Source organism: Homo sapiens, chromosome X (assembly GCF_000001405.40).
Source record: "Homo sapiens chromosome X, GRCh38.p14 Primary Assembly".
Lineage (NCBI taxonomy): Eukaryota > Metazoa > Chordata > Mammalia > Primates > Hominidae > Homo > Homo sapiens.
Window position 1 is genome coordinate 77707315 of NC_000023.11, and position 25301 is coordinate 77732615.

General features: G+C 38.4%; 1 protein-coding gene and 1 pseudogene across 11 annotated transcripts in view; one reads left to right on the forward strand and one right to left on the reverse strand.

Annotated features, from left to right (window-relative positions):
- The window catches only part of ATRX (ATRX chromatin remodeler), a 281337-nt gene that overhangs the window by 202435 nt on the left and 53601 nt on the right, over positions 1-25301 (reverse strand). For 10 of the 11 annotated variants that reach the window (XM_005262157.6, XM_006724666.5, XM_017029604.3 and 7 more), the window contains exon 2: positions 9817-9929. The exons of the other annotated variant lie outside the window; for it this stretch is intronic. In XM_005262157.6, the coding sequence (XP_005262214.2) occupies positions 9817-9929 (113 nt within the window). The remainder of the gene's footprint in view (positions 1-9816; positions 9930-25301) is intronic. 11 annotated transcript variants of the gene reach the window in all.
- On the forward strand, positions 20531-21099 carry FABP5P15 (fatty acid binding protein 5 pseudogene 15; annotated as a pseudogene).

Genomic DNA, 25301 nt, shown 5'->3' on the forward strand with positions numbered 1-25301 from the left:
TTAACGTTACAGGACTGTACATTTAAAATTAGTTAAAATGGCAATTTTTATGTTATGCATATTTTACAATAAAAAATTTAGAATATATAAAGAATTCTTACAAATCAACAATGAAAGCATAAATACCCATTTTAAAAATGGGCAAAGGGGCTGGGCACGGTGGCTCACGCCTGTAATCCCAGCACTTTGGGAGGCCGAGGCGGGTGAATTGCTTAAGCACAAGAGTTCAAGACCAGCTTGGTCAACAAATTAAGACCCCATCTCTATAAAAAATAAACAAAAATTAGCTGGGCACTGTGGCACACACCCATAGTCTTAGCTACTCGGGAGGCTGAGGTGGGAAGATCATTTGAGCCAGGGAGGTTGAGGGTGCTGTGAGCTGAGATCATGCCACTGCACTCCAGCCTGGGAAACAGAGCAGGACCCTGTCAAAAAGAAAAAGACTGGACAGAGGGTTTGAATAGAAGTTTCTCCAAGGAATATATACAAACTACAAATAAGCACATGAAATGATGTTCAACATCATTACCCTTCAGGCAGTTGAAAACTAAAATCACAATGAGATACTACTTCACATGCACTAGAATGGCTAGAATCAAAAAGTCTGTTATTAACAATGGTTGGCATGGACGTGAAGAACTCACAATCTTTATATACTCCTGGTGGAAAAGTAAAATAGTATCTCTACTTTGGAAAACAGTTTGACATTTCCTCAAACAATTTAACATAGTTACCATATAAATCCAGCAATTAGATTCCTAGGTATATACACAAGATAAACAAAAATATATGGCTACACACAAAAAACTGTACACCAATATTTACAGCCGCATTATTCCTAACAGCCAAAACATGGGAACAAGACAAATGTCCATCAATGGATAAATGGATAAACAAATATGGTATACACATATAATGGAATATTATGTGGCCATAAAAAGGAATGGAGTACTAAGACATGTTACAACAGATATCTTGAATACATTACGCTAAATGAAAGAAATCAGCCACAAAAACACGTATTATATGATGCCATTCATATGAAAGTCCAAAATAGGGAAATAGGCCAGGCGCAGTGGCTCACGCCTGCAATCCCAGGACTTTGGGAACCTGAGGTGGGCAGATGACTTGAGGCCAGGAGTTTGAGACCAGCCCGGCCAACATGGCAAAACCCTGTCTCTACTAAAAAATACAAAAATTAGCCAGGTGTGGTGGCGCACGCCTATAATCCCAGCTACTTGGGAGGCCAAGGCACAAAAATCATTTGAACCTGGGAGGCAGAGGTTGCAGTAAGCCAAAATAGCCACTGCACTCCAGCCTGGGCAACAGAACGAGACTCTGTCTCAAAAAAAAAATAAAAATAAAAATAAAAATAAAAAACTCAAAACAAGAAACTAGATTAGTGATTTCTTAGAGCTAGGGGGTGATAGCTAAAGGGTATGGAGTTTCTTTTTGAGGTGATAAAAATATTTTAAAATTGATGGTGGTGATGGTTGTACATATGTGTAAATATTCAATATACTAAAAACCACTGAATTTTATACTTTAAATGGGTTAATTGTATGGCATGTAAATTATATTTCAATAAAGATGTTTAATGTTTTATTACCAGCCAGATGCAGTGGCTGATGCCTGTAATCTAAATACTTTGGGAGGCCATGGTGGGAAGATCGCTTGAGGCCAGGAGTCTGAGACCAGCATGGGCAACAGAGCCAGACCCCGTCTCTACAGAACATTAAAAAATTAGCTGGGTATGGTGGCATGTGCCTGTAGTCTTGGCTACTCGACAGGCTGAGGCAGTCTCAGCTACTCGAGAGGCTGAGGCAGGAGGATCACTTGAGCCTAGGAGTTTGAGGCTGCAGTGAGCTATAATTGCACCACTGCACTCCAGCCTGGGCAACAGAGCAATATCCTGTTTCTATTTAAAAAGAATTTATTACTCATTAAGTAAATGCAAATTAAAACCACAATGAGATACCATAAATATCAAATGGCTAAAATTTAAAAATAGTATTAACACCCAGTGTTGGCAAGGATGTGGAGAAACTGGATCACTCATACATTGCTGTGGGAATATAAAACAGTACAACCACTCTGGATAACAGTTCAGGAGTTTCTTTTAAAAAAATGAACATGTAAGAGTAGACAAGATAACTATTAGGTACTGGGCTTAATACCTAAGTGATGAAATAATCTAAACAATAAACCCCAGTGATGCTACCTTACCTATGTGACAAACCTTCACAGGTACCACTGAACCTAAAAGTTAAAATAAATAAATAAATAAATACCAATAAATAAATAAAAGCACTGATAGAGTCCAATGGAGTAAAAAAAAAAAAAAAATGCAAACCAGGTGCAGTGATTCATGTCTGTAATCCAAGGGCCTCCAGAGGACAAGGCAGGAGGATTACCTGAGGTCAGGAGTTCATAACAAGCCTGGCCAACACAGTGAGGCTCTGTCTCTACCCAAAATAAAATAAAATGTAAATGTAGTTTAATTAATTTAATAAAAATAAATGTGTAACCATCATATGAACTGCAAAATGCACTCCTGGCATTTATTGCAAAGAAATGAAAACATAAATTCATATAAAAACGTATATATAAATATTCACCACCAGCTTTAATTGTAACAACTGAAATCAGGAATCGGCCCAGATTTGCTTTAACAAATAAATGGTTAAACAAACTGTGGTACAGGCCAGGCGCGGTGGCTCACACCTGTAATCCCAGCACTTTGGGAGGCCGAGGTGGGTGGATCACCTGAGGTCAGGAGTTCGAGACCAGCCTGGCCAACATGGTGAAACCTCGTCTCTACTATAAATACAAAAATTAGCCGGGTGTGGTGGCGCTTGCCTGTAATCCCAGCTACTCCGGAGGCTGAAGCAGGAGAATCACTTGAACCTGGGAGGCGGAGGTTGCAGTGAGTCAAGATCATGCCACTGCCCTCTAGCCTGGGTGACAAAACAAGACTCCATTTCAATAAAAAAAAAAAAAAAACAATACAAATACAACTGTGGTACAGGTTGCGTATTCCTTATCCAAAATGCATGGGACCAGAAGTGTTTCAAATTTTGGATTTTTTCAGATTCTAGCATATTTGCACTATTCTGGTTTATTCACATTAGGGATTCAGCATCCCTAATCTGAAAATCCCAAATGTTCCAATGAGCATTTCCTTTGAGTGTCATGTCAGCACTCAAAAGTTTCCGATCTTGGAACATTTCAGATTTCTGATTCTGGGGTTAAGGATACTCAATCTGTACATCCATACCATGGAATATTACCCTGCAATTAAAAGGAAAGGATTGTTGATACATACAACAACCTCAATGAATCTCCACAGAATTATGCCAAGTGAAAACACTCCAACCCCAAAAGATTATTTACTATAAACTCCATTTATTTAACATATTTGAAATGACAAAATTTTCAAAATGGAAGACAGATTAGTGGTTGCCAGGTGTTAAGCATAGGCAGAGGTAGGCGGAGGGAAGTGGGTGTGATTATAAAATGCCAAGATGAGGAATCCTGTGTTGATGAACTATTCTGTATCTCAACTGTGGTGGTAGATGCATGAATCAACCCAGGTAAAAAAAAAATGTATAGAACTTTAACACACACACACACACACACACACACACACAAAGTAAAACTGACAAAATCTTGATTAATAGATTTTATCAATGTCAATTTCCTGGTTGTGATATTGTATTCTAGTTTTATATGTTACCATTGAGGGAAACTGCCAAAGTGCATAAGAGCTCTCTCTATATTAGTTATTACAACTGCATGTGAATTTATAATTACAAATAGAAATCAAATAGAAATTTAAGCTTAAAAAAATTCTCAGCAAACTAGGAATAGAGGGGAACTTCCTCAACTTGATAAAGGGCATTTACAAGAAACCTATAAAGCAAACATCCTTCACTGTGAAAGACTGAATGTTTTCCCACTAAAATTGGTAACACTAAGAGGATGTCTGCTATCATCATCATTCTTCAATGTAATACTGGAAAATACAGAAAATCCTAGCTAATATAATGAAGCAAGAAAAGAAATTAAAAGGTATACAGATGGAAAGGAAAAAATAAAACTATCCCTATTTGCAGGTGATATAACTGTCTAAGTAGAAAATCCCAAAGAATCTACAAGAGGGGGAAAAATACTATTTAGAACTAATAAGTACGTTAAGCAAGTTCACAGGATACAAGGCCAACATAAAAAGTCAACTGGGCTGGGTGTGGTGGCTCACGCCTGTAATCCCAGCACTTTGGGAAGCCGAGGCAGGCAGATAACCTGAAGTCATGAGTTCAAGACCAGCCTGGCCAACATGGTGAAACACTGCCTCTACTAAAAATACAAAAATTAGCTGGGCGTGGTGGCAGGTGCCTGTAATCCCAGCTATTCAGAAAGCTGAGGCACAAGAATCACTTGAACCCGGGAGGTGGAAGTTGCTGTGAGCTGAGATGGCATCACTGCACACCAGCCTAGGCAACAGAAAAAGAACCTGTCTCAAAAAAAACCAACCAACCAAACAAACAGATAGTTAACTTACTTGAAATGAAACTCCAAACCCTTTCCACCCTGTAGTACCAAACAACTCAAAGCTTTTGTTCTGTTCTTTTAGTCCTAACCAGGCTGGTTGGAATCTGGAGTGCACTTAGGCAACAGGACCAGAGCTATTGGGAGAGTTTTCGTGCAATCTGGTTTTCCCATTCTGTGGCTCTTTTCTAGATGGGATCTCTCTACTCATGTTACAGCTGCTGTGGTCTCCCTAAATTTTTTCCTTGATTTCACATCCAATAAGACTGTAGATTTTTATCCAAGTCTTAAAGGCCACAGATGGAGCTAAGAGGATCCTTGGCTGAAGCAAAAAGGATTAACAATGGGGAATTCAGCCATTGCCACTTCTTCTTCCATGTGTTGACTCCCCTCCAGTTTATCTACTTTGTTGATATCTAGCCTTCAGTATGCTGCCCAGAATTTACAATTGGTATTTGTGAGTGACATCTGTTTGTCCAACTGGAGATACCACTACTGAAGGAGTTCCTCAACTAGTGAACACAGGACTCCGACAACGTAACATCATTCTAAAGACAAAAAGAACTTTAAAGAAATACTGAACTATAGTTACGTTTCTTTAATGCGATGATATGGTTAACAACTCTGAAACTGTGGGTACAATGAGGACTAGAAAAATGAATACAAATAAACTGGGGAAAGGCCGGGCTTGGTGGCTCACGCCTGTAATCAGAGCACTTTGGGAGGCTGAGGCAGGTGGATCACCTAAGGTCAGGAGTTCCAGACCAGCCTGCCATCCAGAGATGGCAAAACGCCGTCTCCACTAAAAATACAAAAATTAGCTGGGCACGGTGGTGTGCACCTGTAGTTCCAGCTACTTAAGAGGCTGAGACAGGAGAATCGCTTGAACCCAGGAGGCGGAGGTTGCAGTGAGCTGAGATGGCGCCACTGCACTCCAGCCTGTGTGACACAGCGAGACTCCATCTCAAAAAAATAAAAATAAAAATAAATAAATAAACTGGGGATAGGCTGGGCACAGTGGCTCACACTTGTAATCCCAGCACTTTGGGAGGTCGAGGCAGGCGGATCATGAAGTCAAGAGATCAAGACCATCCTGGCCAACATGGTGAAACCCTGTCTCTACTAAAAATACAAAAATTAGCTGGGTATGGTGGCGCATGACTGTAGTCTCAGCTACTTGGTAGGCTGAGGCAGGAGAATCGCTTGAACCTGGGAGGCAAAGGTTGCAGTGATCTGAGATCACGCCACTGAACTCCAGCCTGGCAACAGAGTGAGACTCCATCTCAAAAAGAATAAATAAATAAAAATAAATAAATTGGGGATAATAGGAACCAGGTTTCTTTCTGTTGGAGAAAGAAGTTAAAAACATGAAAAGGGGAAGTCTAGAAAGAAGACTGGAATTGAATTAAAAGTATCAGTATCAACTCATGAAAATATAAAACATATTATTGGCTTTCTCTGTGAAAGAGCTTGGAAACAAAGACATCTTGGTGGCAATGAGCACATCACACACCCTGATCTTGATTTCTAAACACTATATCCCACTAAAAGGAATCAGAACTCTTGCAAAAAATAACTGATTGTAGGGCTGGGGAACAGAGAATGGAAAGCAAGCCTTGAATACTTTGAAGGGACAGAAAGAAAGTGTTCAAGAAATGATGCGGATTTGTAAAAAGGTCAGCAGGAGCCATCCAGGTGAGGCTCCTACTAGCCAAAACTGATACAATTTCAGGATCAAAATAAATAATGACAGAGAATATTCATGGAAAAAATTGTAAGTATATACTGATACAAATAATTGAATAGGTTAGAACATGAACCCCTCCCTTACAATAAAATATCAACTAATAAACATAGAAGGAAAGACAAGTTAGAACATCACCATTTTGAACCCATCATAGGAATAAATTATTCAGCTAAGAATCACAAATGTATGCTGTGATAAACAGACCTTCTAGGAATGGCCCACAAGATTCTACACCGCAAATCCCCAGAAATTATCAATGTGATGACATATCACTCCCATAACTGTGTTATGTAATATGGCACAGTTGATCTTAAACTCAAGAGATAATCAGGAGGAGATGAGAGGGAGAGGGACCTAATCTAATCACATGAATCCTTAAAAACAGAAAAATGTCTCCAGCTGGTAGCAGGTGGCAGCAGAATTAGCAAGCAAAAAGCTAGGTCAGAGAGCTTCAAAGCTTGAGAGAGACTTGATGTGCTGTTGCTGGATTTGAAGATGGAGGGCATCACGTGAGAAGAAATGAAGACACCTGAAAAGAACTAGGAGGGGGTCTTGGCCAATAGTGAGTGAGAAAGAAGGACCTCTAACCGATTATCATAAAGAACTGAATTCTGCCAACAACCTGAATGAGCTTAGGAATGGATTTTTCTACAGTCTCCAGAAAGGAACCTAGTCCTACTAACATCTTGACTTTGACCTTGTGATAGCCCGAGAAGGGTCCAGCAAGGCCCACCGGACTCCGAACCTACAGAACTGTAAAATAACAAATTTGGGTTGTTTTAAGCTGCAAACTTTGTGGTCATTTGCAAAAGAAAACATATTAAGTTTTGATAATAAAAAGAATACCTTAGTAATCTCAAAGTGCCCCCCATTAAATTAGTTATTAGTTACAATGGAATAAATCATAACTTTAGACTGGGTTTACCTAGCAAACACAACCATAACCAAACAACCTAAGTTAACATCACCAGTAAAGGGGCAAATCACATCATGTGCCATGTAACAGGATGCATGGAGAACAGAACACCACTTTATGTAGTATTCCTGCCAAAAATGTATAACCTGAATCTAACCATAACTAAACAGATAATCCTGAGGGCCATTTCACAAAGTAACACACCTGTACATTTCAAAAAAAGTCATAGTCCCAAAAGGCAGACAAACTGCTTCAGATTTTTAAAAAACCAAAGAAACAGGACTACTAAATCTTGAACTGGATCCTGAATTTAAGGGGGAAAAACTTATCTGTGAACACTACTGGGGTAATTGATGAAATAAGAATAGGGACTGTGGCTTAAATAACTTTATGTTATTTAGTTTACCTACCTATTTAGCTTTCCCATTCTTATTCATTACTTCCTGTATTTTGGTGTTGCCATTTCAAATTATTTTCTTTCTCATTTCAGAAAACTTGTAATTTCCTCTAGTGTAGTTATTCACTCCAGTGTAGGTCTGTTGACATCAAGTTCTCACTTTTTGTTTGCCCAGATATGGCCTTATTCCACCCTTCATTTATGAAGGATGTTTTCACTGAATATACAGTTCTATGCTGGCAATTACAATCACATGCTGCATAAAGACATTTCACTCAATGACTGACCACATATACATCGGTGGTCCCATAAGATTATAATACTGTATTTTTACTGTACCTTTTCTATGTTTCCATGTGTTTAGACACACAAATATTTACCATTGTGTTCCGATTACCTACCGTATTCAGTACAAGAACACGCTGCACAGGTTTGTAGCCTATGAGCAACAGGCTATAACATATAGCCTAGGTGTGTAGTAGCCTATGTAAGGACACTCCATAATGTTTGCACAATGACAAAATCACCCAACAATGCTTTCTCAAAAAAACCTATCCCATAGTTAAGTGATGCATGACTGCACTTTTCTTTGACATTTTAAAGAAATAATTTCATTGTCATCTGCCTTCTATCATTTCTGTTGTTAAGTGAGCTGCCAGTGTTACTGTTATTCCTTTGAAAATAATGTATTTTTTTCCTCTGGCTACTTAAGATATTTTTCTCTCGGTTTATGTTCTTTAGGAGTTTGGTTATGACATGCCTAGCTGTAGTTTTCTTTATATTTATCCTGTTCAGGGTTCACAAAACTTCTTGAATCTCTAGTCTGATGTTTTTCATCACTTTTTAAAAAATGCTCAGCCCGTATCTCTCCAAATAGGACTTTTAACCAAGTCTCTTTATTCCTTCTAGAACTCTAATTACACATATGGTTGAACTTTTCACTATAACTCTCTTATACTTTTTTTGTACATATTGTGTGTGTCTGTGTGCATGTGTATTGTAGTTACCCTTGAAAACCTGAAAATGCTAACTGTCACATGATACAAAATGTTTTTTAAAAAAGGGAACCAGGTACAATGGCTCATGCTTATAATTTCAGCTACTCAGGAGGCTGAGGCAGGAGAATCATTTGAGGCCAGGAAGTCCAAGACCAGTCTGGACAACATAGCAAGACCATGTCTCTAAAAATTTTTTTTTTTTTTTTTTTTTTTTTTTTTTTTTTTGAAATTAACCAGGCATGGTGGCACACACCTGTAATCCCAGCTACCGGGAGGGTGAGGTGAGAAGATTGCTTAAGCCCAAGAAGTCTGAGGCTGCAGTGAGCTATGATTACACCACTACACTCCAGTCTGGGTGACAAAGCAAGACCTCGTCTCTTTAAAAAAAAAAAAAAAAAAAAAAATATATATATATATATATATATATATCTTTTTAAAAGAGAGAGACAGGGAGGTAGAGAGGAGGTGTTAAGTGGTTTTATTTTAAAAAATAAATACACCAAATCTACTCAGGGATATTATCAAACAACATAAAAATTTAACTCTTATGTTGGGTGTGATGGCTCATGCCTGTTATCCTAGCACTTCGGGAGGCCAACGAGGGCAGATCACTTGAGTTCCAGACCAGCTTGGCCAACAGGGTGAAACCCAGTCTCTACTAAAAATACCAAAATTAGCCAAACATGGTGGCAGACGCCTGTGATCCCAGCTACTCAGGAGGCTGAGGCAGCAGAATAGCTTGAGCCCAAGAGGCGGAAGTTGCAGTGAGCCAAGATCATGCCATTGAACTCCAGACTGGGTGACAGAGCGAGACTCCATCACAAAAATAAAAATAAAAATTTAACTCCTAATACATGAATGATTGCTAGGACAAAACATTCCTATACTACTCCTGCCTCTTCTAATACTATTTTTTCACAGTCAACATTCACTAGCCATTCTATAACACATTTCCATTACATATAAAACCATAAATGCTTCCTTTTCTAAGCTTTCTATAGTCATACTTACCAAAATTAAAATCTCCTGTATCAGATATAGCTAAGATACATAATAGGGGCTTCTATAAAGCTTGCTAATCTGTCATTTTCCACAAACTGAAATCTCTTTTAAAAGCTGCTCTCTGAATAAAATAAATGGTTACCTCCATAAGTGTAAAAAAAAAATAGAAAAAAGACTAGAAGGTATAGCACATTCTTTTTCAATTTACCTGTGTTTTGATTCATTGCAAGTCGTGGAGGAGAACTTGTTTCTTCAGATTCTTCTGATGAGTGTGCAAGGAAGTCATGAAGCTTCTGCACCAATGTATTCAACTTGCTTTCACTATTAAAACAAAATTTAAAGAATTCCCTTAATTAGCCTTTCATGTTTTAAATTAATTGTAAAGCTCTAGCAAACTGAAAATATAGCCATACTGTAAGTCGTGTAAGAGTATGCACATTCAAAGTAAAAACTAAGGGAAATGTTACAGTTGTGGGTGTAGAAAGAAAAAATATTAAAGAAAACGAATTTTAGGCCAGGTGTGGTGGCTCATAATAGAGCATGGGTGGCTCATGCCTGTGGTCTCAGCTACTCAGGAGGCTGAGGTGGGAGGATGGCTTGAGCCTTGTGAGGCAGAGGTTGCAGTGAGCCAAGATCATGCCACTGCACTCTAGCCAAGGCAACAGTCAGACCCTGTCTCAAAAAAAAAAAAAAAAAAGAATTCTATTTCACTAAGAATATAAAAATATGAGTAACACAACCTACCTGTACACTTACCTAGGATTAAAATATCATTTAAGGAAACTGCTGATATTACTTACTAAACATTTCGAAAATACTGAGGTCTTTCAATGTACTCTATATGATGTGTTTAAACAGAAGTTAAACTTCATGTTACTTAAAAATGTATCAGAAAATACTACCCTTAAGTTAATTCTTAAGAAACAATAAACCTACCTACCACAAAAGAATTTTAAAAGAAATCAAAAGAAAATTTGGGGGATTAAACAGCAAAAAGGTATTCATATTTAAATTATATCCATTGCTATTTCACAACAAATAGCTGACCCTTGTACTTATCTTGTCATATTATCATTAGGCACCTAAGTTATTATTTCCTCTCACTTATATATAGCTTATATTTGGGAAATCCTTAGAAATCAAAACATAGATGTAGATTATCACTTCAAGAAAGATTTATACTAGCCAACACCCAGAAAAAGAGAGGGCAAGATTTTCCTTTCCATCATTTAAAAAAATAATTCAGTAATTTATCGAATATATTTACTGAACACTTACTCTCTGAAAGCCCTAAGCAGTGTTTTGGTTTATTATTCCATCCTCTGCTTGACATAGAAGAACTGTCTAACTGACTGGCATAAAGATGAACAAAAAATACAACAGGACTTGCAAGAGCTCCATCGCCCAGGGAAATATTTCATTAACTAAGTTTTATAGCATCAACTCTTTTTTTTTTTTTTTTTTTTTAAAAGACGGAGTCTTGCTCTGTCACCCAGGCTGGAGTGCAGTGGCGTGATCTTGGCTCACTGCAAGCTCTGCCTCCCGGGTTCACACCATTCTCCGGCCTCAGCCTCCCAAGTAGCTGGGACTACAGGCGCCCGCCACCACGCCCGGCTAATTTTTTTGTATTTTTAGCAGAGACGAGGTTTCACCGTGTTAGCCAGGATGGTCTCTATCTCCTGACCTCGTGATCCACCCATCTCGGCCTCCCAAAGTGCTGGGATTACAGGCGTGAGCCACTGTGCCCAGCCTATAGCATCAACTCTTAAGTTATATAATAGATGTATCTGTAATTCAACAGGGTTTTAAGGAGTTAAAACTTTAAATAAGGAAAGTATAAGTTTACCCCATTTTTTTTCCTTAGAGTTAGCCTCTTGCTCTGTCACACAGGCTTGAGCACAGTGGCGTGACCTTGACTCACTGAGGTCTCAAAACTCTTGGGCTAAAGCAATCCTCCCGCCTCAGCATCTTGAGTACCTGTGGCACACACCTATGTTCTTAGTTGAGGAAGTGCAGCACACAACTATACTCTTAGCTAAATTTTTTCTTTAATTTTTTGTAGAGATGGGGTCCAGTTATGTTGCCCAGGATGGTCTGAAACTCCTGGCCTCAAGAAATCCTCCACCTCAGCCTCCCAAAGCACTGGGATGACAAGTGTGAGCCACCATGCCCAGCCCCATTTTTAATAAAAGTCAAAACTTTTGCATGTCAAAGGGCACCATCAAGAAAGTGAAAACACAGCAAACACAATGAGAGAAAACGATTTTCAAATCCTGTATCTCATGAGGGTCTGGTAACCAGAATACATAAAGACTTCTTACAATTAAACAACAAAAAGACAACCCTATTTTTTAAATGGGGAAAAGACTTAGATATACACTTCTCAAAAGAATATATACCAATGGCCAATAAGCACATGAAAAAATGCTCAAGATCATTAGTCATATCAGGGAAATGCAAATCAAAACCACAACAAGAAACCAATTTATACTAAGTAGGATGGATATAATAATTTTAAAAACAAATTAAAGACATACATAGGTTCAAAATAAAGGGATGGAGAAACATTTACCAAGCAAATGGAAAGCAAAAAAAACCAGGGGCTGCAATCCTAGTCTCTGATAAAACAGACTTTAAACCAACAAAGATCAAAACAGACAAAGAAGGGTGTTACATAATGGTAAAGGGATCAAAGCAACGAGAAGAGCTAACTATCCTAAATATATATGTACCCAATACGGGAGCACCCAGAACATAAAGCAAGTTCTTAGAGACCTACAAAGAGACTTAGACTCTCACACAATAATAGTGGGAGATTTTAATAACCCACTGTCAATATTAGACAGACCGACAAGACGGAAAATTAACAAGGATATACAACACTTGAACTCAGCTCTGGACCAAGCAGACCTAACAGACATCTACAGAACTCTTGACCCCAAAGCAACAGAATATACATTCTTCTCAGCACCTCATCGTGCTTATTCTAAAACTGACCATATAATTAGAAGTAAAACACTCCTAAGCAAATGAAAAAGAACGGAAATCATAACAGTCTCTCAGACTATAATGCAATCAAATTAGAACTCAGGATTAAGAAACTCATTCAAAACCGCACAACTACATGGAAACTGAACAACCTGCCCCTGAATGACTACTAGGTAAACAAAGAAATTAAGGCAGAAATAAAGAAGTTCTTTGAAACCAATGAGAACAAAGAGACAACATACCAGAATTTCTGGGACAAATTTAAAGCAGTGTGTACAGGGAAATTTATAGCACTAAATGCCCACAAGAGAAAGCAGGAAATATCTAAAGTCAACACCCTAACATCATAATTAAAACAACTAGAGAAGGAAGAGCAAACAACTTCAAAAGCTAGGAGAAGACAAGAAATAACTAAGATCAGAGAAGAACTCAAAGAGATAGAGACAGGAAAAACCCTTCAAACTATCAGTGAATTCAGGAGGTGTTTTTTTGAGAAGATCAACAAAACAGACCACTATCCGGACTAATAAAGAACAAAAGAGAGAAGAATCAAATAGATGCAATAAAAAATGATAAAGGGGATATCACCACTGATCCCACAAAAATACAAACTACCATCAGAGAATACTATAAGCACCTCTATGCAAACAAACTAGAAAATCTAGAGGAAATGGATAAATGCCTGGACACATACACCCTCCGAAGACTAAACAAGGAAGAAGTCGAATCCCTGAATAAACCAATAAAAAGTTCTGAAGTTGAGGCAGTAACTAATAGCCTACCGATCAAAATAAGTCCAGGACCAGACAGATTCAAAGCTGAATTCTACCAGAGGTACAAAGAGGAGCTGGTACCATTCCTTCTGAAACTATTCCAAAAAATAGAAAACGAGGGAATCCTCCCTAACTCATTTTATGAGGCCAGCATCATCCTGATACCAAAACCTGGCAGAGACACAACAAATAAAGAAAATTTCAGGCCAATATCCCTGATGAACATCGATGCAAAAATCCTCAATAAAATACTGGCAAGCCGAATCCAGCAGCACATCAAAAAGCTTATCCACCACGATCAAGTCGGCTTCATCCCTGTGATACACAGCTGGTTCAACATACGCAAATCAATAAACATAATCCATCACATAAACAGAACCAATGACAAAAACCACATGATTATCTCAATAGATGCAGAAAAGGACTTCAATAAAATTCAACACTCCTTCACGCTAAAAACTCTCAATAAACTGGGTACCGATGAAACGTATCTCAAAATAATAAGAGCTATTTATGACAAAACCACAGCCAACATCATACTGAATGGGCAAAAACTGGAAGCATTCCCTTTGAAACCCGGTACAAGACAAGGATGCCCACTCTCACCACTCCTATTCAACACAGTATTGTAAGTTCTGGCCAGGGCATTTAGGCAACAGAAAGAAATAAAGGGTATTCAATCCGGAAAAGAGGAAGTCAAATTCTCTGTCTGCAGATGAAATGATTGCATATTTAGAAAACCCCACCATCTCAGCCCAAAATCTCCTTAAGCTGACAAGCAACTTCAGCGAAGTCTCAGGATACAAAATCAATGTGCAAAAATCACAAGCATTCTTATACAACAATAACAGATAGAGAGCCAAATCATGAGTGAATTCCTATTAACAACTGCTACAAAGACAATAAAATACCTAGGAATACAACTTACAAGGGATGTGAAGGACCTCTTCAAGGAGAACTACAAACCACTGCTCAAGGAAATAAGAGAGGACTCAAATAAATGGAAAAACATTCCATGCTCATGGATAGGAAGAATCAATATCATGAAAATGGCCATACTGCCCAAAGTAATGTATACATTCAATGCTATCCCCATCAAGCTACCACTGACTTTCTTCACAGAATTGGAAAAAAAAGCTACTTTAAATTTCATATGGAACCAAAAAATACCCCACAGGGCCACGACAATCCTAAGCAAACAGAACAAAGCTGGAGGCATCATGCTACCTGACTTCAAACTATACTACAAGGCTACAGTAACCAAAACAGCATGGTACTGGTACCAAAACAGAGATATAGAACAATGGAACAGAACCGAGGCCTCAGAAATAACACCACATATCTACAACCATCTGATCTTTGACAAACCTGACAAAAACAAGCAATGGAGAAAGGACTCCCTATTTAATAAATGGTGTTTGGAAAACTGGCTAGCCATATGCAGAAAACTGAAGCTGGACTCCTTCCTTACACATTATATAAAAATTAACTCAAGATGGATTAAAGACTTAAACATAAGACCTAAAACCATAAAAACCCTAGAAGAAAACCTAGGCAAACCACCATTCAGGACATAGGCATGGGCAAAGACTTCATGACTAAAACACCAAAAGCAATGACAACAAAAGCCAAAATTGACAAATGGGATCTAACTAAACTAAAGACCTTCTGCACAGCAAAAAAAAAATATATATATATATCTCATCAGAGTGAACAGGCAACCTACAGAATGGGAGAACTTTTTTGTGATCTATCCATCTGACAAAGGGCTAATATCCAGAATCTACAAAGAACTTAAACAAATTTACAAGAAAAAAGCAAACAACCCTAACAAAAAGTGGGCAAAGGATATGAACAGACATTTCTCAAAAGAAGACATTTATGTGGCCAACAAACATATGAAAAAAAACTCATCATCACTGGTCATTAGAGAAATGCAAATAAAAACCACAATGAGATACCACCTCACGCCGGTTAGAATGGCGAACATTAAAAAGTCAGGGAACAACACATGCTGGAGAGGATGTGGAGAAATAGGAACAATTTTACACTGTTGATGGGAGGGTAAATTAGTTCAACCATCGTGGCAGACAGTGTGGCGATTCCTCAAGGATCTAGAACTAGAAATACCATTTGACCCAGCCATCCCATTACTGGGTATATACCCAAAGGATTATAAATCATTCTACTATAAAGACACATGCACACATGTTTACTGCAGCACTATTCACAATAGCAAAGACTTGGAACTAACCCAAATGCCCATCAGTGATAGACTGGATAAAGAAAATGTGGCACATATACCCCATGGAATACTATGCAGCCATAAAAAAGGATGCGTTTATGTCCTTTGCAGGGACATGGATGGAGCTGGAAACCATCATTCTCAGCAAACTAACACAAGAACAGAAAACCAAATACTGCATGTTCTCACTCATAAGTGGGAGTTGAACAATGAGAACACATGGACACAGGGAGGGGAACATCACACACTGGGGCCTGTTAGGGGTTGGGGGAGGGATAGCATTAGGAGAAATACGTAATGTAGATGACGGGTTGATGGGTGCAGCAAACCACCATGGCACGTGTATAGATATTTACGCAGAAACAGTTACTCAATGACCCAACAATTCTACTTCTAGATATACACATAAGAAAAATGAAAACATTTACTGAACACTTAGTAAGTGTTCCTCTGCACAATTTTCCTGTATTTAGTTAAGAATAGCTCAGTATATTTAGGGAAGGAAAAGAAATGAGATATAACAGACACCGTAACTAGAGATCTTGTGTGGGTATTTGTTTTCTTTTGGTGGAGAGGGTTGTTTTACAAAATTTTGAAACAAACTTTGCCTCTAGAATAAAGGTACCAAGTGGGTATGGTTTCCATATTTGGCCAATAACCATTCTTTCAGATAAGAGTCAGATGTACAAAAAAATTTATCATCAGGTCACTGTGTCCTTAATCGTGCTCAGATAGAAAATGAGACCTGAGGAAATGATGCTACATGTCAACTCACAGCACCCAAAATTCCTGAGAACCAAAAGTCAAAAAGAGGAATAAATAATGTCATACTATATCTTATCTCATCAATAGATCACCATAGAAAAGTTCTCTAGAAATGAAACGATAGCAAACCTGCACAATTATGACTGCCACACTCATTCCCAAATCATAGCAATCAAATTGCAAAGTCAGCTATTTAATGAGTTCACACTGTGGGTGACCAAGGTTAAAAATATGGATAACATCAGTGCAGTCCATCAACCGCAGTACCACAGTACAAAAATAAAATCAAGAGAGTATGATCAGCAGGCCAGGCACGGTAGCTCACACCTGTAACCCCGGCACTTTGGGAGCTAGACAGGCAGATCACTTGAGGTCAGGAGTTCCAGACCAGCCTGGCCAACATGGTGAAACCCCGTCTCCCCTAGAAACACAAAATTAGCCGGGCCTGGTGGTGCATGCCTGTAATCCCAGCTACTTGGGAGGCTGAGGCAGGAGAATCACTTGAGCCGGGAGGGAGAGACTGCAGTGAGCCAAGATCGCGCCACTGCACTCCGGCCTAGACAACAGAGCAAAACTCCATCTCAAATAAATAAATAAACAAATAAAGAGAATGGACAGAAGTCCAACAGTGGAAAAAAAAGAAAAAAAAACAGATAACTAAACAATGCTGCCTACTCATTTGAAAAAGAAAAAAAAAACTTCACTTTTTTTTTTCCTTTGGAGAGAGGGAGTCTCACTATGTTGACCAAGCTGGTCTTCAAATTCTGGCCTCAAACAACCCTACTGCCTCAGCCTCCCAAACTGCTGGGATTACAGGAGTGAGCTACCGTGCCCAGCCCAAAAATATCTTCACATCCTCAGGATGGGTATGATTTTTGGAAATAGCCAGTTTTCACTTAGAGTCAAATATGGTGAAAAATGCAAAATGATCAAGTTGGGTAAAACTAATTTTTTGCCCAAATCTGAAGTAATCCTGAAGATTTATTTACTTGCATGACTTCTAAACTGGTTACAAAATGAGAGTTCCCAACATATCATCAGGAATGACACCACTGTTATGTATATGGGCTCCCAAAGTGACTACTTAGAAGGAAAGCATACATTTGTGTCTATAAGTTCTGACATTGATTTTAAAAATCTACATCATTTCTAGAGTCATATCATAGAGATGATCCCTGGAAATGTGTATGTCCTATCTTTGGAAATGATGTTTCAAACACACCAAACCAAGTATCTGAAAGGCAGCACTCATTAATCCTTTTTATATATTGAAAAATATTTTCTTAAGGCAAAAGAGCACACATTTACTTATGCTAAACTTTTTATTAAATCCAGACATGGTTGTTACTCTCTTCCTCCCTCTACAAAAACTTGAAGCTGACTCAACCAGCACTATGTTATACCTCACCATAGAGTCTAGATAAAAGTCCTTAAATACATCTTTTCAGAGTGGTTAAACCGCATTGCCACAACAATCCTAAGCAAAAAGAACAAAGCTGGAGGCATCACGCTACCTGACTTCAAACTATACTACAAGGCTACAGTAACCAAAACAGCATGGTACTGGTACCAAAACAGAGATATAGAACAATGGAACAAAACAGAGCCCTCAGAAATAATACCACACATCTACAACCACCTGATCTTTGACAAACCTGACAAAAACAAAAAATGGGGAAAGAATTCCCTATTTAACAAATGGTGCTGGGAAAACTGGCTAGCCATATGGAGAAAGCTGAAACTGGATCCCTTCCTTACACCTTACACAAAAATTAATTCAAGATGGATTAAAGACTTAAGCGTCAGACCTAAAACCATAAAAACCCTAGAAGAAAACCTAGGCAATACCATTCAGGACATAGGCATGGGCAAGGACTTCATGTCTAAAACACCAAAAGCAATGGCAACAAAAGCCAAAATTGACAAATGGGATCTAATTAAACTCAAGAGCTTCTGCACAGCAAAAGAAACTACCATCAGAGTGAACAGGCAAACTACAGAATGGGAGAAAATTTTTGCAATCTACTCATCTGACAAAGGGCTAATATCCAGAATCTACAAAGAACTTAAACAAATTTACAAGAAAAAAATCAAACAACCCCATCAAAAAGTAGGCAAAGGATATGAACAGACACTTCTCAAAAGAAGACATTTATGCAGCCAAAGACACATGTAAAAATGCTCATCATCACTGGTCATCAGACAAATGCAAATCAAAACCACAATGAGATACCATCTCATGCCAGTTAGAATGGCGATCATTAAAAAGTCAGGAAACAACACATGCTGGAGAGGATGTGGAGAAATAGGAACACTTTTACATTGTTGGTGGGACTGTAAACTAGTTCAACCATTGTGGAAGACAGTGTGGTGACTCCTCAAGGATCTAGAACTAGAAATACCATTTGACCCAGCCACCCCATTACTGGGTATATACCCAAAGGATTATCAATCATGCTGCTATAAAGACTCACACACATGTATGTTTATTGCAGCACTATTCACAATAGCAAAGACCTGGAACCAACCCAAATGTCCATCAATGACAGACTGGATTAAGAAAATGTGGCACATACACACCATGGAATACTATGCAGCCATAAAAAAGGATGAGTTCATGTCCTATATAGGGACATGGATGAAGCTGGAAACCATCATTCTCAGCAAACTATCGCAAGGACAAAAAACCAAACACCGCATGTTCTCACTCATAGGTGGGAATTCAACAATGAAAACACTTGGACACAGGAAGGGGAACATCACACACCGGGGCCTGTCATGGGGTGGGGGGAGGGGGGAGGGATAGCATTAGTAGATATACCTAATGTAAATGACGAGTTAATGGGTGCAGCACACCAACATGGCACATGTATGCATATGTAACAAACCTGCACGTTGTGCACATGTACCCTAGAACTTAAAGTGTAATAAAAAAAAATCTCCATTAGAGAAAAGTGGGTTCAGCCTTCAGGCTCACATTCACATAACTACAAAAGGAGCTTGAGGCAGATGGCAGTCTATGAGATCTGATCTGCCTATCTGCAATTGGGTCAAAAAAATAAATCTAAATCCTGATATTAGCTAACTAAAATAAATGATTAGGTTTCATACCAGTTTTAAATCCTAATGTCACTTAAAAAAAAAAAAAACTATAGGCCATGATCATTACCATGAATGTTTTACTGCTTTTTTACCGATGAGGAATTGGAAAATTTTTTAAAAAAATAGTGTTTTTTTATCCATCTGACAAAGGGCTAATATCCAGAATCTACAAAGAACTTAAATTTATAAGAAAAAAACAAATAACCCTATCAAAAAGTGGGCATAGGATATGAATAGACACTTCTCCAAAGAAGACATTTACATGGCCAACAAACATGAAAAACAGCTCAGCATCACTGGTCATTAGAGAAATGCAAATCAAAACCACAATGAGATACCATCTCATGCCAATTAGAATGCCGATCATTAAGAAGTCAGGAAACAACAGATGCTGGAGAGGATGTGGAGAAATAGGAACACTTTTACACTGTTGGTGGGAGGATAAATTCGTTCAACCATTGTGGAAGACAGTGTGACGATTCCACAATGATCTAGAATTAGAAATACCATTTGACCCAGCAATCCCATTACTGGGTATATACCCAAAGGATTATAAATCATTCTACTGTAAAGACACATGCACACATATGTTTACTGCAGCACTATTCACAGTAGCAAAGACTTGGAACCAACCCAAATACCTATCAATGGTACACTGGATAAAGAAAATGTGGCACCTATACACCACGGAATACTATGCAGCCATAAAAAAAGGATCAGTTCATATATTTTGCAGGGACATGGATGAAGCTGGAAACCATCACTCTCAGCAAACTAACACAGGAACAGAAAACCAAACACTGCATGTTCTCACTCATAAGTGGGAGTTGAACAATGAGAACATATGGGCACAAGGAGGGGAACATCACACTGGGGCCTGTTGGGGGGTTGGGGGCAAGGGGAGGGATAGCATTAGAAGAAATACCCAATGGAGATGATAGGTTGATGGGTGCAGCAAACCACCATGGCACATGTATACTTATGTAAAAAACTTGCACGTTCTGCTCACATATCCCAGAACTTAAAGTATAATAAGAAATAAAAAATACAAAACTGAGAGTTTTAAAACAACAGTTTTCTTATAAACCAGAGAAGAAGTCTGAAGAAACAACAGATTATGGCAGAAAAACTCAGACTGTCTACAAATTTACAAATGATGCATTGGTTCAACACCAGGAACGGAATGGGAAGGAAAGCACAATGAGAAAAGTGAAAGATGGAAAATTAGCGGTAGAATGTGTTATGTACAATGCCACCTCTCCTCGAATCCATAAAAAAGTGTAATAAAAATTCCACTATTAAACCAAGTGTGGTGGCTCATGCCTGTATTCCTAGCAATTTGAGAGGCGGAGATGGGAGGATCACTTGAGGCCAGGAGTTCAAGACCAGCCTGGTCAACATAGCGAGCCCCCATCTTTATTTAAAAAAAAAAAAAAAAAGTCATTATCACTTCGCAGAAGGATTAGCTGAAAACAAGCTCAGTTTAATGAGCAAATTTCTGTAATACTTTTTTCATTATTAAATTCAATTATCTCTATCACAGACATTTTACATGAAAATAATTCCAAGTGTTGGCTTAATTAGGATCATCCTTTTGGTTAGTAATTAAATATGTTTGGTTAGCAAAATAAATAATGAAAAACACATTACTTTGCTCTCATTCCCCTATAGAAACTTTTGAAATAGTACACAAAATGCATGAAGAAATGAATATAAAACTGCAACTTCTTAAAGCCTATGAAATGTTAAATGTGATAGCATTTTTTAACTTATCAAATATTTAGGGGTAAAATGACTATTCATTGTAGGCTAAGTTTCCATGAAATAGACACTCTCATAGATAGCCTGTGGTGATACATACATTTACAAAACAAATTGGCAAAAACCATCAAGAGACTTTGATCTAGTAATTCTATCTCCCTTTATCTATACAAAGAAAGTAAGAAAGTATTTCTTTTCTTTTCTTTTCTTTTTTTTTTTTTGAGTTGGAGTCTTGCTCTGTCGCCCAGGCTGGAGTGCAGTGGTTCGATCTCGGCTCACTGCAACCTCTCCACCTCCCGGGTTCAAGCAATTCTCCTGCCTCAACCTCCTGAGTACCTGGGACTACAGGCATGCACCACCATGCCCAGCTGATTTTTGTATTTTTAGTATAGACGGGGTTTCACCATATTGGCCAGGCTGGTCTTGAACTCCTGACTTCATGTTCCACCTGCCTCAGCCTCCCAAAGTGCTGGGATTATAGGCATGAGCCACCGCACCTGGCCCAAAGAAAATATTTCTACATAATAACTTTACTCAAGAAAGTTATCTGCCAGATGCTCACAAAAGCAAAAAAAAAAAAAAAAAACTGTAATCAATTAAAGTGTATAATAAAGACTAGGTAAACAAGGATGCATACAAGTCATACAATATCATACCAACCATTAAATTTTAAAAGTTCAAATAATATGGAAAATAGCTCATACTACAATGCTAACCAAAAATAGCAGGCTATAAACTGTCTATGAAGTATGATGACAATTATGTTTAAAATTGCATTAAAATATTGCTAATAAATATACCCCAAAAATATCTTTAGTAAGTAATATCTAGCTAATATTACAGAAGATATTTTTCTTCTACCTTTTTGGTACATAATACACTCATTGCTTTCATGCAGGAAAAGTTTTATTTTCTTTAATTCATAGACTTTTCTTTAAAATTTGAGAAATAAAGACATGTATGACGCAAAACTAATTTAAAATTAAAAACATCATTTTTCTAAGATTCTTCAAGGTAATTCAATTCCATTTAAGAAATTACTCACATGTGCGTGTGTTTCCAGTTTCAAAATCATCATGTTTAAAGTACATTATATGGCCGGGCATGATGGCTCATGCCTGTAATCCCAGCACTTTGGGAGGCCAAGGTGGGTGGATCACTTGAGGTCAGGAATTGGAGACCAGCCTGGGCAACATGGTGAAATCCCATCTCTACTAAAAATACAAAAAACTTAGCTGGGTGTGCCAGTGCATGCCTGTAGTCCCAGCTACTCGGTAGGCTGAGGCATGAAAATTGCTTGAACCCGGGAGGCAGAGGCTGCAGTGAGCCAAGATCACGTCACCGCACTCCAGCCTGGGCAACAGAGCAAGACCGTCTCGGAAAAATAAATAAATAAAGTACAGTATAAGGCATATAGTTATTTGTTAATACCTATAATTTCAGTTTTAAATTAAACAGTAATTAACGATTTTGACTTTTCACTAATTCAAGAGATTCTGTTCATACCTGCTTTACTTACAAGTTTACTACTCACTGAAGTGTTGAAAACCTCCTAACATGTGTCCTTATCAAACAGAATTACGAGAAATCTTTTCCAAAGCCAATGGAAACCAAAAAAGTGCAGAAGTGGCTATACTAATATAAGACAAAATAGATTTCAAGACAAAAACTATAGGAAAAGCCAAAGAGGGTCACTATATAATGATAAAGCAGTCAATTCAGCAAGAGGATGTAACCATTTTAAACATAAATGCACCCAACACTGGAGCACTCACATATATAAAGCAAGTATTATTAGAGCAAAAGGGAGAGACAGGCCCCAATATGATAAAACTTGGAGACTTCAATATCCCACTTTCAGCATTGGACAGACCTTCCAAAGAAAACCAACAATGAAGCATCAGACTTAATGTGCATTAGAGGCCAAATGGACCTAATAGATATTTACAGAAAAATTCATCCAAGGGCTGCAGAATACACATTCTTCTCCTCAGCCCATGGATTATTCTCAAGGATAGAACATATGTTAAGTAACAAAACAAGTCTTAAGACATTAAAAATATTGAAATAATATCAAGCATCTCCTCTGATAACGGAATAAAACTAGAAATCAATAATGAGAAATTTTGAAAAGTATACAAATACATGTAAATTAAACAATATGTTCTTGAATGATCAGTAAGTCAATGCAAAAATTAAGAAGAAAATTGGAAAATTCATTGAAACAAATGATACTGAAACACAACATACCAAAACCTATGGGATACAGCAAAAGCATTACTAAAAGGGAAGTTTATAGCTGTGAGTGCCTACATGAAAAAAGAAGAAATACTTCAAATAAACAACCTAACAACACATCTTAAAGAATAAGAAAAGCAAGAGTAAACCAACCCCAAAATTAGAAGAAATAATAAAGATCAGAGTGAAGCAAACGAAACTGAAATAAAGAAAATAATACAAAATATCAATAAAACAAAATGTTGGTTTTTGTAAAAGTTAAAAGAAAATTTAAAAACCTTTGGCCAGAGTAAAAAAAAAAAAAGAAAAAAAAAAGAAGATCCAAATATATAAACCAGAGATGAGAATGGAGACATTACAATGATAACCAATACTGCAGAAATAAAAAGGTTCATTCATGGCTACTATGAAAAACTATATGCTAATGAACTGGAAAACCTAGAAGAAATGGACAAATTCCTAGACACAATCTACCAAGATTGAACCATGAACAAATCTGCAACCTGAACACAGCTATAACAAATAACGAGATTGACACCATAATAAAAATTCTCCCAGTAAATAAAAGCCTGGGACCTGATGGCTTCACTGCTGAATTCTACCAAACATTTAAAGAAGATCTAATACTGATAGAGGCAGGAGGCAGAGAAATTCTAGGAAGACAAGGGCAGTCCCTGGTGAAACCCCACGTTCAAGCCAAAAAGCCTGAAACCCACAGCCCAAAGTGAAAACTTCTATTCCTGTTTGTCCGCTCTCTCCCGATTGGTTCTGTTTGAATAATGTCTCTTTACCAATAGAATGTTGCCTTTTCCAAAACTTCTACAGCCTGCCCCGCCCCCATCCTGTGCTTATAAAGAGGATCCTATGCTTATAAAGACCCCAGATTCAGTTGGTAGAGAGGAGAGAAACAGCTTAATTTCGGAGAGAAGATGGCCAAACTTTGGGAAAGGAGACAGCATGACTTAGGGAAGAAACGGCCGGACTTCAGGGAGATCAGCCCTTCCCATCCCCTCTCCAGCTCCCCTCTCCACTGAGCCATTCCCACTGCTCAATAAAATTCTTCACCTTCACCATCCTTCAAGTGTCCACTCAACCTCATTCTTCTTGGATGCCAGACAAGAGCTCAGGACCCACTGAGTGCAGGTACCCAAAAAAGACTGTCACACCAGCCCTTTGCCCTCACCAGTGGAGGGCAGCCACCCCACATGACAAGGCAAGAGGCCAACTTGTTAACACACAGCCATCAGCAGACAGCAGAACTAAAGGAGCACTGTTAACACCCCCTCAGGGGCCTCGGGGTCACAGACACCACCCCCCTCCCCATCAACCTGGGTGCTGTGCACAGGCCTGCTCCTGCTGGTGCTCAGAACAGCTGGGTCCCACACTCACTCGCTTGTGCCTGGTCTGGCCGTGGTCCCTGCACAGGGCTTGCTGCTGTGTCAGTGCCCCCACCAGCTGGCCAGGTCCCGCACTCACTCACTCACATGCACCCTCCAACAAGGGGTTGAGCACGGCAGGCTGAGTAAACATTCGCCCCTGTCACAAGTCCAACAAAGGGGCCGAGAAAATTCCTGCATCAATACTATTCCTACTCAAACTATTCCAAAAAATAAAAGGAAGCAATACTTCCAAACACATTCTGTGAGGCCAGTATTACCCTGTTACCAAAACCTGACAAAAACACATCAAAAAAAGAAAATGACAGGCCAATATCTCTGATAAATATTGCTGCAAACATCCTCAACAAAATACTAGCAAATCAGACACATTAAAAAGATCATTCATCGTAACCAGGTGGAGTTTATCCCTTGGATGCAAGAG